This window comes from Homo sapiens, chromosome 17 (assembly GCF_000001405.40).
Source record: "Homo sapiens chromosome 17, GRCh38.p14 Primary Assembly".
Classification (NCBI taxonomy): domain Eukaryota; kingdom Metazoa; phylum Chordata; class Mammalia; order Primates; family Hominidae; genus Homo; species Homo sapiens.
Window position 1 is genome coordinate 12,658,656 of NC_000017.11, and position 15,461 is coordinate 12,674,116.

A 15,461-nucleotide genomic window follows, 5' to 3' on the forward strand; every position below is an offset into this window, starting at 1 on the left:
AAAATAGAGGGGGAAAAAAAACAAGTGAAATTGAAGAATTTGCACCCTGAAAATTGCACCTACCCAGAAATGAATGACAACTATGAGTTCATCTCCAGACAACACACTTCTCCATTGTCCATATTCTCTATGGCAAACAAGTCACAGCAGTGAGACAGCCATCTCAGATATAACTTGGACCCCGAGGAAACTATCATTGCATGGATCCAGTGCAAACAAGCTTGGGCAATATGTCTGTGTCATGTAACCTAAAGGCAAGAACGAAGCTGGAATCACGAATGGTTTGTATTTACACACTGCCAGAATGCTCACTGTTTCTATTTTACACTCCTCTTCACCCCTCTTAAAGTGAGAGTAGCAAGGATCCAGGAAGACGAAGAAGAAGAGGCCACACAGGGGTGCATGACTTTCAGCACAGAGACCCTGCTATCTAGTAAATGTGGCCCAACCGAGTGGCTCCAAATCGGGATGAGCAAATTGTATTCCCTTTTCTTGGGCAGGAACTAGGATGGAGAAGTGCAAAGAGAGAGAGGAAAGGTGAAAGCATTGCTGGCTGTCGGGCAGACTCGGAAGGGGCTGTGACCGATCCTGCAACTGAAACTACTTTCTTTATGTTGTTTAAATCTTTGTTTAAATTAGGCAAAAGTCCTTCTACATTCACTTTTATGAAAGAAAGCAGGTTATGTTAATAGTGTGGCTGACATGAGTTCCATCTGTGCTTTCATGACATTAACTCGTAGAATAATGACACTGGATTTCTGGTTTGTTGAGAGTTTGTGGATGACCCCCACCACTATATTCTTAGCCCCTAGAGGTTCTGGACCATATCTGCTTTATCTTTATATTCCTTACAGTGCTAGAACACAGTCTGCACTTAATAAATATTTCTGGAATGGAAAGAAATTGAGAGGCTGGGGCTGCATTTCTTAAATAGGTAATTCTTCAAGTAGGTGACTTGATGGTACATACTTCCTCCTCCCTACTGCAGTCAAGCTCTTGGAAAGCAGAGGAGAAATTTCACAACAGAGTTCACAAAGAAGATTCACAGGGGTCTGACTCAGTGTGCAGACATGCTCTATTGGCTCCATTTGACTCTTCTCCCCCCCACCCCACCCCCCGACACACACACACTTGTATGGGCCTTGTGGGTGCTGGGAGTAACTGGGAGTTTGAGAGACTTCAAGGTAGAAAGGAGAAAAGGCAGGATGCAATTAGAAAGCATTTCTACATTACCATTTCTGGTCAAATTGACTGAAGAATCTTAGAAATAAAAAAATACTAAATCTTCCATGCTACTGTTAGCTGTGATTTCATTTCTCATTCTATGTAAAAAGTCAACCTTGCACTTAAAATCATAGTTATAATTTTGCATTCATTTTTTAAAGAACCCTCAAATTTTATGAGACTCAGATTGTACAATTTGGATCTGCTCCTGGCTGACCTATGGTGTTTTAATACATTTTTTAAATGTACTGATAATTGTTCTTTTTTTTTTTCTTTTCTTTTTTTGAGACAGAGTCTGGCTTTGTCATCCAGGCTGGAGTGCAGTGGCGCGATCTCGGCTCACTGCAACCTCCACCTCCCAGGTTCAAGCAATTCTCCTGCCTCAGCCTCCCAAGTGCCTGGGACTACAGTCACCCGCCACCATTCCTGGCTAATTTTTGTATTTTTAGTAGAGACAGGGTTTTACCATATTGGCCAGGCTGGTCTTGAACTCCTGACCTTGTGATCCACCCACCTCAGCCTCCCAAAGTGCTGGGATTACAGGTGTGAGCCACCGCGCCCAGCCTAGTTGTTCTTATTTTTAAAAGCCAATACCTTTCACATTACAACCTGGATTTCTAGTGTCTTTGAACAGTTAAGGAGAATAGCAATGAGGGCCTGTGTTCCTTCTCTCATGGCTACAGTCACCTAGAGCTAGGTCATGGCTGCCCCCCTTGGATGAGCCACCTGCTAAACAGTTTGTTGTGTGAAACCCCCTCCTGCCTACATTTTATCTTCTCTCTGGCTCACTCGACTCATTTGAGTTTGCAAACCTATCTCTCTATGCATGCCTGCCAGGGCACTTGCCACAGTGACTTGCTCACATCCCTAAATGCATTTTCTTTTTCTTTCTTTCTTTCTTTTTTTTTTTTTTTTTTTTTTGAGACAAGGTCTCACTCTGTCACCCAGGCTGGAGTGCAGTGACACAATCATGGCTCACTGCAGCCTCAACTTCCTGGGCTCAGGTGATCAGGTGATTCTCCCACCTCAGCTTCCTGTGTAGCTGGGACTACAGGCATGTGCCACCATGCCTGACTTTTGTGTGTGTGCGTGTGTGTGTGTGTGTGTGTGTGTGTGTGTGTGTGTATTTTTAGCAGAGACGGGGTTTCATCATATTTCCCAGGCTGGTCTCAAACTCCTGGACTCAAGTGATCCACCTGCCTTGGTCTCCCAAAGTGCTGGGATTACAGGTGTGAGCCACCGTGCCTGGCCCCCTAAATGCATCTTAAATGAACTAATGAAAGATGAATAAATGCTTCCCTGAAGTTACTTATTCACCGATGTGTGAGAGAATAAAAAGAGAAAATGGACAAGAGGTGATACTAGAGACAGGTACTGAAGAACTCTTCATGTCTCAAGAAGACCATGAGATCCACTCACACAATAATGACCTTGGTGGGGAAGGGGATTTGCTAAGAGAGGACCACAGGGAGAATTCGAGGTCCTGAGAACAACATAGGTGAGCTGTCCCTCTGCTCACCACACTATCCCCTGTCTGTGACCCAGCAGCTGACCTCATGGTGCTCCTAGGAAAGGAGATGTGTAAGGGGTCAAGATTTAAGGTGGTGACTCTGCACTGTACTTTGAACTCACACCTATGGACATAATCACTTCCATTGTGGCTGAAGGCTGAGGACCACAGCTATGGAAGGCAGAATTGAAAGGTGACCTCTCAATGAGCTATCCCCTTGGATAATCTTCTCTCCTTCAATATGGGAGAGACCAGTGACTGTGATGGATGCACTGTTATGATTAGGTTACATTATTTGGCAAAGATGAAGAGGTTTTTCAGACATAATTAAAGTTCCTAATTACTATGACTTTGAGTTAAAAGAAAGATTATCCTGGGTAAGCCTGACCTAATCAGGTGAGCCCTTTAAAAGAGGACATTCTCAGCCAGGTGCGGTGGCTCATGCCTGTAATCACAACACTGGGAGGCCGAGGAGGGTGGATCACCTGAGGTTGGGAGTTGGAGACCAGCCTGACCAACATGGATAAACCCCTTCTCTACTAAAAATGCAAAAATTAGCCGGGGGTGGTGGTGCATGCCTGTAATCTCAGCTACTCAGGAGGCTGAGGCAGGAGAATCGCCTGAACCAGGGTGGCGGAGGTTGCGGTGAGCCGAGATCACGCCATTGCACTCCAGCCTGGGCAACAAGAGCAAAACTCTGTCTCAGAAAAGAAAGAAAGAAAGAAAAAGACATTCTCCTGCTGGCCTTGGAAAAAAGCAAGCCATTGTGAGTTCTAACACTGCAAAGACCTGAATTCTATCAATAACCAGTGAACTTGGAAGGGGACACTGAGCTTCTCATGGGACTGCCACCCTAGCCAGCGCCTTGAGTGCAGCATTGTTAGACCCTAAGCAGAGGTCCCAGATAATCCATGCCTGGACTCCTGACCATGAAAACTGTGAGATAATAAATATGTGCATTGTTTTAAGCTGCTAAATGTCTAGCAACTTATTACACAGGTAACTAACAGCAAAGGAGAGAAAGCCAAAATGAAGGGGAAAGGGACAGAATTGCTTGGAATCTTCATGAATGTTTGGAGATGGTTGGGGCAGGGGAAGTAAAAAGAAGGGTCCAAAACACACCAGGGCCGGGCACGGTGGCTTACACCTGTAATCCCAGCACTTTGGGAGGCCAAGGCAGGCAGATCACCTGAGCGCAGGAGTTCAAGACCAGCTTGGCTGGTCTTGATAGGGGGAAGCCCTATCTCTACTAAAAATACAAAATCATCTGGGCGCAGTGGCATGCATCTGTAATCCCAGCTACTCGGGAGGCTGAGGCAGGGAGAATCTCTTGAACCCAGGAGGCAAGGTTGCAGTAAGCCCAGATCGCACCACTGTACTCCAGCCTGGGCAACAGAGCGAGACTCTGTCTCAAAATAATAAAAAATAATAATAAAAAACACACCAAAATTGTTCTGGGCACCCCACATGTATTCTTTCATTTAAATATCCCAACTCTTCCTGGAAGTAAATATTTCTAACTCCATTTTACAGATAAGACGTTGAGTATCCCAGAGAACTCCAATAATTCACTCCAAAGTACAGGGTTATCCTGATGGAAAGAAGATCTTTCTCACACTGGAGGCTCATGTCTTGCCTTTGTGTCACATCACGGGCTTACTCCAAGCCCCAGGAAAAGAAGGTCATGGAGTAGCCTGGCAAGGAAAACATACTCCAAGGTGGTGGGTGACATTGCAGGACAGAGCCTGGCAGCATGCCGCTGCTGCATTAGCCTGCTGCTTTTCGAGCCTAGCAGCTTAGGAGTTCTGTTCTCCTTGAGAACATCTTCTCCAAATTCCACCCCTCTCAAAAATTTTTTTTGTTTTACCAAAAGTGCTTGGCTAGAGAGGAGAAATGATGAACTTCTTTATGAGCATATTTATAACCATAGATATTCCAAGCCATAGGAGGTATAAATTTCAGGATATATGTCAGTAGCTCCACACTGTGATGGGAAAATTGAGGGGGGCTATGGTTATTGGCATTTCCCAAACTCACTGAAAAAAAGAAACTGCTTCCCTGCAAACACACATACACACACACACACCACACTCCACACATACACACACGCGCGCACACACACACACACACACACACACTCCCCCTAGGCCTGCAGAGAGAAAACAACTTACTCCTGGCCAGCTCATCTAGGTCATGCAGACCCTACAATCAATGCTGGCTTCAGCTAATTTCATCCCAACTTGCACTGAAAAAATAATTCTCTGCCAAGTTGCCATGTATCTCTTCTCAGCCCCAAAGCCTTCGGGATAAAAATCTGTTTGGCTTTTTCTTTTTTCTTTTTTTAATGTTGCTCAAAATAGTTTTCTCTGCTCAGATAATTTTGCAATATTCCTTATCCCACCAATCTCTTCCCTGTAGAGTACCTCCCTGCCACACACATCTCAAAGCCGGTCAGAGCCCTTCCAGACTCCTGTGTGCACCCGTTCCCAAACCTCCCTCCACTTTCCTTCTTCTCATTGAAGACCAGGGGGCTGGGGGTTGACTGAAGACCAGGAGAGGTAGAAGAGAAAGAAAGATCTCAGGCGGAATCATGCCCTCTCCTCCCATGTTCATGTCCTAATCCCAGGAATCTGTGAATAGGTTACATTATACAGCAAAGGGAATCCAGGCAGTGGATGAGATTAGGGAGGATAATAAACTGACTTTATGATAGAGTTTATTTTTGCCGTAAGGTTAATGTAGAAGAGGGAAGCAGAAGGTGGGGAAGGGAGCATTAAAGCGGTAAGATGCAATAGGAACTTGACCCACGATTGCTGGCTTCAAAAATGGAGGAAGCGGCCATGAGCCAAGTACTCGGGCGGCCTCTAGAAGCTGGAAAAGGTGAGGAAATCGATTTTCCCCTAGAGCCTCCAGAAACTAACGCAGCCCCGCTGACACCTTGATTTTGACCCCCTGAGACCCACTTTGGACTTCTGCCCTCCATAACAGCAAGATAATTAATGTGTGCTGTTTTAAGCCACTACATTCGTGGTAATTTGTTATAGCAGGAATGGGAAAATGATGTTACGTAATCGCTGAGATGCTCCTGCACACGAAATCAGCCTATAGACAGGCGCCCAGGCCAGGACTAGATCCCCAAAGGGAACATGGATGGATTGTTCTTCCTCGTCTCTGACACATCAGCAAGAAGGTGTCTATCCCTGAAGACCTTATTTACAAAATCGCCCCGCTCAGATCCAGAGAGTAAGCTCTAGGGCTAACCCCTCTAATGTGTTTTCAGCAACAGGGGATGGGGCAGAGGCCGGGACCAGGACATTAGAGGTTGTCCCCATGAGCTATTGTCACCTCGGGTCTCCATCTGTCACCGACTGATCTTTTAAGGACTCGTAGTATGCAGGCAGGCTTGTGTGTAATAGACGACACCCGGGGTCCACGTGCATATGAAGTTGCAAATAAGCCCTAATTATATACGTATACAGAGTGGTTTTTATGTTCTGAGCCACCAACTATTTAACGGGCTTCTTGAGAGATGGGTCTTTGTTTTATTTCATTGATCCATGTGCCTATAACACCTCGGCCAGATGCACAAATAACTCTGGGTCGGTTACGGAATGGATTTTCCCCTAAGGAGAGACTCATTCGCAGGCAAAGTTTTTGAGCCTTCCCAAGCTAAGCCCAGCCCGAGCTCTGACTTGCCCCCTGCTCCAGAGCCCCTCCCTATTTAGAGCCCAGTAGGTTTTTCACTCCAACTCAGGTATCTTTTCCCATTCCCTCGGGGTTGTGAGGTGGGAGCGTTGTGTCGCAGCTGGATCTCCAGATGCGCCGTGTCACATTTGTCCCCCCAAAAAGCATATCCTAGAAAATGAAAGCCTTTCCATTTCCCCGTGGAAATGCATCTAAGTCCAGTATTGGAGCTGCGAGATACAGAATCGTCTCTGCCAGTGCCCTGAGCCCCTCAAACCGAGGGGAATGCGTGGGCTTCGGTCCGTCGGAAGCTTTTCTTCTCAGGGGTCCAGCTTATTTCCAAATTGCCCCGCGTGAACTGTCCCGCGGGCGCGCACGCCCTTTCGCGCAGCCTTTGCAGCCGGCTGGCGGGAGATCCCGGCCGCTTCCCTTTCGCCGGCAGAAGCCCGGCCGGGGAAGCCCCGGCTGCGCACGCCCATCCCCAGGACCTCGGAGCTCCCAGCGGCTGCCGCAGCCCCGCGAACCACCTGCAAGCCCCGCGGCGTCGCAGCCCTTCCTTCTTTCCTCCGGGCATCCGCTCTTTAGCTCGCGCCCCTCTCCCAGATTCCCGACCCCTGGCCCTGCTCCCGCCCTCTGTGCCTCGGCGGCTGCGGGGCCCGCCGCAAAGAGTTAAGAGCCGGTTCCCGAGACGGCTTCGGCGGCTCCGGGTCCCCAGACCCCGCTCGCCGCTCCTGATTGGCTGAGCGCCTGTCAGTAGTAAAGGGTATCAGATGGCAAAGTTGGGACCTTCATAAAGGCGTGGTGGCGATTCTCCGCAATCGCCGGCAGCCTATGACATCAGACAGGAACGCCTGGGATGCCGCGCTGCTCCTGGCCAACCTCCGAGGAGGAGGAGGGTCCCGCCGGCTAAGAGTTAATTAGCCCCGCACGGCGAGGGGGGAGGCGCCAGTTTTCTGGGGACACTGGCTGCCACTGTACTCCTACCCAGGGGAGCTCACGGAGAGTTGGATGAATTCTGGGTTGTTAGCTGCGGTCAGCTGGGCTCCCGGGAGCCTGTTGCTGGTGGAGAACAGGGGGCGCCTGGCCAAGGGACCAGCGGCTTGCTGAGACTCAACATGACACTCCTGGGGTCTGAGCATTCCTTGCTGATTAGGAGCAAGTTCAGATCAGGTAGGGCTAAGGCATTTAGCATTCCTTCTTAAACTTTCCTCTTCTGCAATTCTCAACTCTAGAACTGCTTTCCAATAAATGTTTCAAAGCCTGCCAGGTCTACCTCAACTTTGTTCCCCAAAAGCACATTGTGGAAGCGAAGAGTTTTGTTTGACTTTGGGGGCCTTTCGTGTCTTCCGTTGTAAGTGCTTTGGGTGGTCGAGTGTGGTTGTTCATCTGTGAAAAGGCCAATCCTTTTATTTTATTTTCTCTGCATCTATGAATAGAAATTTTGGAGGGGTACATTCAGAGGGAGCAACTTTGGAAATGAACAAATAAGGGATTTCAAGTTTGGAAGCTGCGTAGTATCGGTTATAATCGCTGAGAAGATGAACCTGATGTTGTGTGTTAGGTACAGGGGTCACTTAAAATGTAGCTAATCCAAACAAATGTATTTCCCAAAAAAAGTCACTTGGGGGAAGTAAAAATAGCAAATTTGGAGCACACCAAGTATTTAAAATGACATCACTGTAGAAAAAAAAAGAAAGCCCAGTGCCACAAATATTTTTTCCCAAACCATCTGATATTTATAAATAGAGAATTTCCCCCAAAATTTCTGTGTTAGTGGCACATGGAGAAACTTCTCAAAGGACGCTGAGTGGAGGTGAGTGGAAGGGAGAGACGGGAGCTCTAACCGCTTCTCCAGAAGGGCTTGTACACGCGCCCATGGAAGGTGTCTGTGTGGGTCTCCACGTTTAGACAAAGCAACACTTGACTTCTGAAGTTATTTTTCAGTAGCTCTGTGTATAATGTTGGTTTTAGAAAACTGGTTAACAACACACTCAACAATGTAGGACTTCTACTTAGATTGATGACTTTTAGGAGAACTCTGATGTGAACATTAGACATAACAGGTGTCAGAAAGATGCTGGCATAGGTTGCTAAGCTAAAGTTTCCTTAGCCCTTCTACATGGGGCCAACTCAGTTGTTTCACTTGGGATGGATGGTTCAAAAAGGAAAAATGTAGATGCTGGGAGGTAAGGTTCATCTGTGACTTTCTTAGATGCCCTTGGTTTTTAGATGCCTGTGGAGTCAACTGGAGATTTTCTTAGGATCTTCATTGTTGATGCAAGTTGAAAACTCAAGAGCTTAGGCGGTCACAAGTCTCACTGCCCCTGAAGCTCTGGGATGAGTCCGCCAGCCACTGGGGTCGGCAGTGGATTAAGTCCTTCCTTTCCTTTCCATGGTGAGGTGAGGCGGTTGATCTGTTAACCAGCTAGAGACCTCACCACTGCGTTGTATTCGGTCAAAACTGTAAGGCAACACTGCCACCTTTCTGAAGAAGAGAGGATGTAGATTTGTTTTCTATGAGGCTGCATTCATTTCAAATGCTTCCTTGCCAGTTTAAATGTGGAGGGTCTGGGGGTGCTGGTTTGTCTCTAAAAGGATCTGGTGATGTACTTGATAGTAGACTTGCAAAACGCTTATCAATCCCTCCTTCAGCTAAAGTGCAGTGGAGAGGGAAGTCAGTTTTTGCCACACTCCCAACTTCCATCTCAGTGGATTTGTGGAGTCCTGGTGTCTCCTAAGTAGACCCTGAAGACCCTGATCCTGGAGCTTCAGAGAATTCCAGCCTCACTTTTTTTAAAGTTGTGCAGGCTTTTGTGTCATAAGGAAAGGTAGCTTCGGGAAAACATGATATCACAGCAGAAGCAGGCATCCTTAATCCTCCCGTCATTGATAAACAGGGAATCTGGAGTCTGAGATGCAAACATTGATAGTCTCTTGACAGACAAGAGAAAAAAAACAAGTGGAATGTAAAACTTAGAAAATGTAATGTTTGAATGGAGGTTATTCTTTCTGGATGTAATTACTACTATGGCTGTGCCAGCACTGAGGTCGCAGCATGCTAACAAGAGGGCCTCTCTTTAAGAGAATGTCTTTTATTTTGTCACCAACAGTGAATAAGGGCCTTGACTTTATTTTGATTTCTCTCTCTCTCTTTCACTGTTTTCCCTTCTCTTTCATCATCTTCTTCTCCTCCTTCTCTTTCAAAAGCAACTCAAACAGTAAACTCATAAAACTGTTTCTATCTCACTGCGAATATTTGCTTTGATAGTAGATCGTGGTATTATGTATTCCATTAAACATATTTCAAAAAATAAATGCAACAGAACCATTCTCTGATTACAGCAACAGACCCACTGTGACGGGGTTTATTTATAGGTGAGCAGATAACTGCTTTTACTCTGAAATCATCATCGATGTCAACCATGGCCGACCAACTTTCTATAAGCTGTATTTGAGTGACCTCGTGATTAAGGACAAAATTGTGCTACAGCAGCAGTAAGCTCTGAAAGTTTACATGTATGAACATGTTTAGTGATATAAACTCATTTGAGAAGCCAAAGGGTGTCCTGGTTGAGTGCGTGGGTCTCGGGGGCCAGACTAGCTGGGTTTTTCATAGTGGTCTCTGCTTACTAGCTACATGACCCTGAGCGTTAGGTAAATTACATAATTCTCTGTGCCTCAACTTGCCTCACCTGAATAAAGAGGATGACTATAGGGTCATTGTGAGAATTAAATGTGAAGTAGAGAACTTCGAAAATGCCCAGGCCTTAGAAGGCTCTTACAAAACATTTTTCTATTATTAATATTGATGTGCAGTGGGACCGGCGGTTGGTCAGTTTCTCTGTCTCAGTTATTTAATCGGTAAATGTTGAGGTTGGATTAGGCAATGTCTTAGACCCCTTTGGTAACATTTTATCATTCTCTGAAAACACATAAAGATTGACTGGGAACAAGTGTAACTGTGATTGTGCTGTGTGGCAATTGTGTGTGAAGGAGAGGCAGTTTTACATGAATGTAGTAATTTGTGCTGATTTTAAACTAATCACATTTTTACAGTTTTTAATCTTCTCATGTTGTTTATTCAATATCTAATCAGTGTCACTATCAACAGTTCTCCTCCATATCAATCCTTGTGTCCTACAAAACACACAGGGAGGTACGTATGTGTGCCACACACAGGCACACACAGCCCTCAGACATAAAGGATCAAAAGTGGAGAGAGAGATCCATGAATGGATGTTGCTTCTAAAGAATCATTGTGTTTCTTTTGCTTCTCTCTCTCTCTTTCCCACTTCCCCATCTTAAACCGCGCAAACAGAGGCAAAGTCTGGCAATTGCCATGAACTTGACCCCACCCCCACAAATATAACCTTGTTCAGTTTAGCAAATAAAAATACAGAATGCTCAGTTCAATGTGAATTTCCAAGCAATAGTGATTACTTTTTCACTATATAGCAGTACTTGGGACATACTTTTCTCTGAAATCCAAATTTCACTAGGCCCTGTTATTCTTTTTGGCAACCCTACCTACAATCTGAGTGTTTTTTGTTGTTTTTTTTTTCTGAGACGGAGTCTCGCTCTGTTGCCCAGGCTGGAGTGCAGTGTCACGATCTCGGCTCACTGCAAGCTCCGCCTCTGGGGTTCACGCCATTCTCCTGCCTCAGCCTCCTGAGTAGCTGGGACTACAGGTGCCCGCTACCACGCCCGGCTAATTTTTTGTATTTTTAGTAGAGACAGGGTTTCACCATGTTGGCCAGGATGGTCTCGATCTCTTGACCAATCCGAGTGGTTTTTGATCAACACTTTCTGCTGCCCCATCCAATATCCTATCAAGCTCTTGAGATTCTCTGGGTCCCCAAGGACTCCCCAAAATGCAAAACTTGTACTTTAGGCATGAAAGCAGAAAACTCCAGATGGGGTGGGGGTACCATGAGAATGAACCCTAGGTCCCCCAGAGTACAGCCAGCTTATGGGTGAGGAAGAACATGGGAGCTTCACCTCTGGTCTCTGGTCGTCTGGCAAGGAGGAAGATAAGCTCAGCAGGCAGGCCGGTGCTCAAGCAGCAGAGGCTCCAGAGGTTGGAGCTGTAGTTAAAAGAAGGCAAAGAACATGCAAAGCAGGTACTCAAGAGGCTGTGGCTGAATTCAGGTAGTGGGACCCACCCCACTGTGTTCTTCTACTCCAATAGATGCAGGATCAGGCCCCTGGTGCCTGTAATTGGTTGCTTGTCCTTTCAGAGAGGGCAAGGGACATCTCAGCAAGACCCTGCAGTCATCTCTCTCTGTCGTTTCTCTATTCTCCATCCTTCAGACAACCTAAAAGGACGACTGATTCCTACTTTAAGCTAAATCCTCAACATCTCTGGCACTGAATTTTCTCTCTCAGGAATTGAGCTTAGCCTAAGAAGTCGGTCCCCAAGATTTTTATCATAATGGACAGTACTGAAGACATTTTCACCATGAGCTCGAGAGAAGCCCAGACTATCTACCTTCATTGGCAATTAGTTTTCTAGTTTAGAACAAATAATTTAACCTACAAGAGTACCTTTCCCATGATATGTAATATTTATGTATGTACATATAATTTAATTCACCTTTTTAGATCTCATTTTTACTTTCTACAAAATAGAGGGTTTTGACTGGTTTCTATTTCAAGTTGCTTTTAGCCCTAAGATTCAATACTTTTCCAAGGGAATGGCCCTAAATATTTTTGTAAATGCTTGATCAAAGCATTACATATGAGAATACAATTTAATGGACCTTAAAAAATGAACATATTTTAATTTCTACATGGAATGTAAAAGTTAAAGGAACATTTGGGGTCTGGCTCAAGCCACCTGCTTGAGACCATTCCTGTCTCCTCAAGTCCAGCTGTATTCGATTCACTCACAGCTCCCATGCCCTTCCCTCACCATCTTAATCACTATAGCAAGAACCCCAACCCCCACCTTCCCTGCCCTAGTTTTATTCATAGCTCTTATCACTATTGGACAGACTAAACCTTTTACTTGTTTATTTGCTTATTATTTGTCCATAACGGCAGAAATTATTACTTGTTTATTCGTGTTTGGTTTTTACTGTCTTTATTCTCTAGCACCTAACATAGTTTATAGGGTATTTTCCAGTCATTTCATATCATCTATGCTTGGCACAGAGAAGGAACCCATTAAATATATGTTGAATAAATAGGTTTTATTCTTCCTCTAAAGTCTATTCAAAAACATCAAAAACAAGCAATATAGGTTTATTGTTAGATGTGCGTTTGTGTGTACTAAAACTAGAACAAAAAGGAGAGGAGTGACTATAAATACAAAAGTCAAAGTCATAGCACAGTGGGAGAGGCTAAATAAGGAGGTAGGGGTGTAGCCGAAAGGTAAGAAGCAGGTTATCCCTATTGTTCTTAGGTTAGGCAGTAGTTGTGTCCATGTGTTATTAAGCAAATTAATTAAACAAAGGTCATCTATGGCTCAATGACGATAGTGTGACAGTGTCATGAACCAAGGATTGTGATTAATTCAATTCTGTGTACCCAGGATACTTTTTTAAAAACATATAAATTCTTTAAGACCAGGAAGAGTGGCATTTGTCTTTTATCTGCTACAGCATGTGACAGAAACAGTTAGCAAGATTGTGTCAAGTTGGCTTGAACCAGATTGAATGTGCTCTACTCTAATTGGATTAAATTGAAGAATAACAGAAGTGCAGGGCAGAAGCAAAATACTCCACCCAGGGTTAGAATTTTACATGCTTCAAAAAAGCCAAACCTGAATAGGAGATGCTAGAACAGGCTGCTTTTCATTTCCTTTATTTTCATCTAATTAGCAAGGCTTCCCGAGCATCTAATGAATGGTGAACAGGTACCCCACATCTCTGTCCAGATCAAGGGGGAGGAGCCAGCAGGTGCATTTCACAGGTCTCTGCTTTCCTGGTTCCATTCCTTCTGTCCTGTGGGCCAAGTCACAGTGGGAGCCCATCTGGGACTCCGTGGTCTTGGGAATATGTTTATATTCCCAGGGCTCTCTGGGCCTCTGTTTCCATATTGGTAAAATGACTCATGGTCTTCACATCCTCATACTTCTATGAGGGAAAGATCTTTGTAGAATTATTAAGGGTTTCTTTCTGAAAAGAAGGAAATTAGTGAACCTTTATTCACTGTGTGGAAATGGATAACTGGATCTGGTGGCATGTGAGTTGCATAAGAGTTCTTGCTTATGCGTGGAGTAGTTAAAAGTTTTCGATGAACACAAATAGGATTAATAACAACAACCATGACCATTAGCCCAATAATAGTTTTGCAGCCTTACGACGTTAGTACTTTGAATTTCTATTTTATTAGGCAGATAATGCTTATATGTTTCAGAATAGCTAGTAAGTCAAGCTGTCAAGCTTTACGTAACGAGATTTGGATCATTATTCTTAGATAAAACAGAAAGAGGTGTCCAATTTTTGTTAAAATAAAATGTATCATTTATCCCCAGAAATTTAGAATAAATAAAACTGTTTTGTGACTTTTGTTTTTCCAGAGCATAGCAAAATGAAGGGAGAATAATGTCTTTCTTTTCTCCTGCTGGTGAGGGAAGATAAGTTCTTTCTTTTCACTATTGGGGTACTTCTCTTATGAGTACAATCCCTCTGACTCATGGATGTTTGCTGTATTCAGCTACTTTAGATCACTAGAGAAGAAATTGAATTCAAAGTGAATTAAGCCACTGTAATATTGTGAGATGTATGTATTGGGTTCTCCTAGCTCTCACTTGGTTTGTGCAGCAATGATTAATGGATACACAGACCCTCAAATACTTAGTATGTCTTTATCAGCAATCCCTTCTGACACCTCAGTTTGAACTACTGCATTGAGTAAGTTTTCCCTTCTCAACTTGTATCTCCTTCCCCTTGGCCTCTTAAGTGGTACGAAAGCATCAAATTAGTTGTTTCTCATAAAATATGGTCAAATAACTCCAGGCAATATCCTCATTTCACAGATGATGTGAAATGACTAGAAAATACCCCATAAACTATTCTGCCTTTTCTATTTCCGGAAACACTCTCCTTAGGAAGCCAATCTTGTTTTCTGCTGACTGGTTGGGCTGGTTTTTCAGTCCTAGGTAAAGTTCCACAAGGAACTTTCTGTTATTTATTTGAGACTTACTGCCCTGTCTGGAGCTTCTAAAAAATGATTTCAAAAAAGTTAAATCCAGAAAATGCTGTTCAACATTAATTGAACAATAGTTCAATAGTTCTCCTCAATACATTATATTTTTTGTCATTTGTGTTCTCTTTCTGTCCTGGTCCAGTTGCATAAAGATTTTTACAACGTGATAATCAGAGTATATACATAAGTTTATACTCAGCCTTTTTATCGTTAGTATAATAGCATAAATATTTTTCAAGCGGCTACATAGCAACATAGTTTTTGCTTTAAAGACTGTATAATATTCCCCCAAGTGAGTATATAGTAATTTACTAAACCTTTTCCACTTGTATTGGAAAATTAAGCCAGTTATAATCTTTATATTATAAATAACACTACTATGAAAATCTGTATGCATAACACTACTGTGAAATCCTTCATGTAAAGAAAGAAAATATTTTCCTCCCTTTGGATTGTTTTGTAGGCTACTCATTATTTAGAGTAAATGCCTAAGTGTGGGAATAATGGATTTGAATATTTATGAGCTGTAATGATGGCTAGTGTTTTTGGAGCACTTACAATGTAACAAACTTAACTTTAGGCCTATTTCTATTTGGCGATGAATGCTTGTCCCTACTGTACAACTAACTCAGAGTAACCTTGGGTACTTACCCAATGGTGGCTGGTATCTGATGAGCCTTTCATACCTTTTCAGTAGAGATTGAAAAGGAAAATGAGTAACAGTTGCCTAATGCCTTTGGAAACTTCCATGTGGTCTGCTATTTAGGGACCACGTGTTACCAAATATGACTCATGCCTCATCAAAAGGGAAGAGAAGAGGACTAGGAGTTACTGAACCTATTATCTGTGGGCACCTTTATCATCTCATTTAATCCTTACAAAAATGTGATTA

The 15,461-nt window shown here is 43.9% G+C and overlaps 1 protein-coding gene and 1 long non-coding RNA gene across 6 annotated transcripts in view; one reads left to right on the plus strand and one right to left on the minus strand.

Moving 5' to 3' along the window:
* Nucleotides 7,235–15,461, plus strand: part of MYOCD (myocardin) — a 103,060-nt gene continuing 94,833 nt past the window's right edge. For all 5 annotated transcript variants that reach the window (NM_001378306.1, NM_001146312.3, XM_005256863.1 and 2 more), the window contains exon 1: nucleotides 7,235–7,588. Coding sequence is in view for 4 of the 5 variants with exons in the window: in NM_001146312.3 (NP_001139784.1) it covers nucleotides 7,534–7,588 (55 nt within the window). In the remaining variant the exon portion in view is untranslated. The remainder of the gene's footprint in view (nucleotides 7,589–15,461) is intronic.
* Nucleotides 13,207–15,461, minus strand: part of MYOCD-AS1 (MYOCD antisense RNA 1) — a 34,274-nt gene continuing 32,019 nt past the window's right edge. The window contains exon 3 of the long non-coding RNA NR_104605.1: nucleotides 13,207–13,536. This is a non-coding gene — a long non-coding RNA (MYOCD antisense RNA 1). The remainder of the gene's footprint in view (nucleotides 13,537–15,461) is intronic.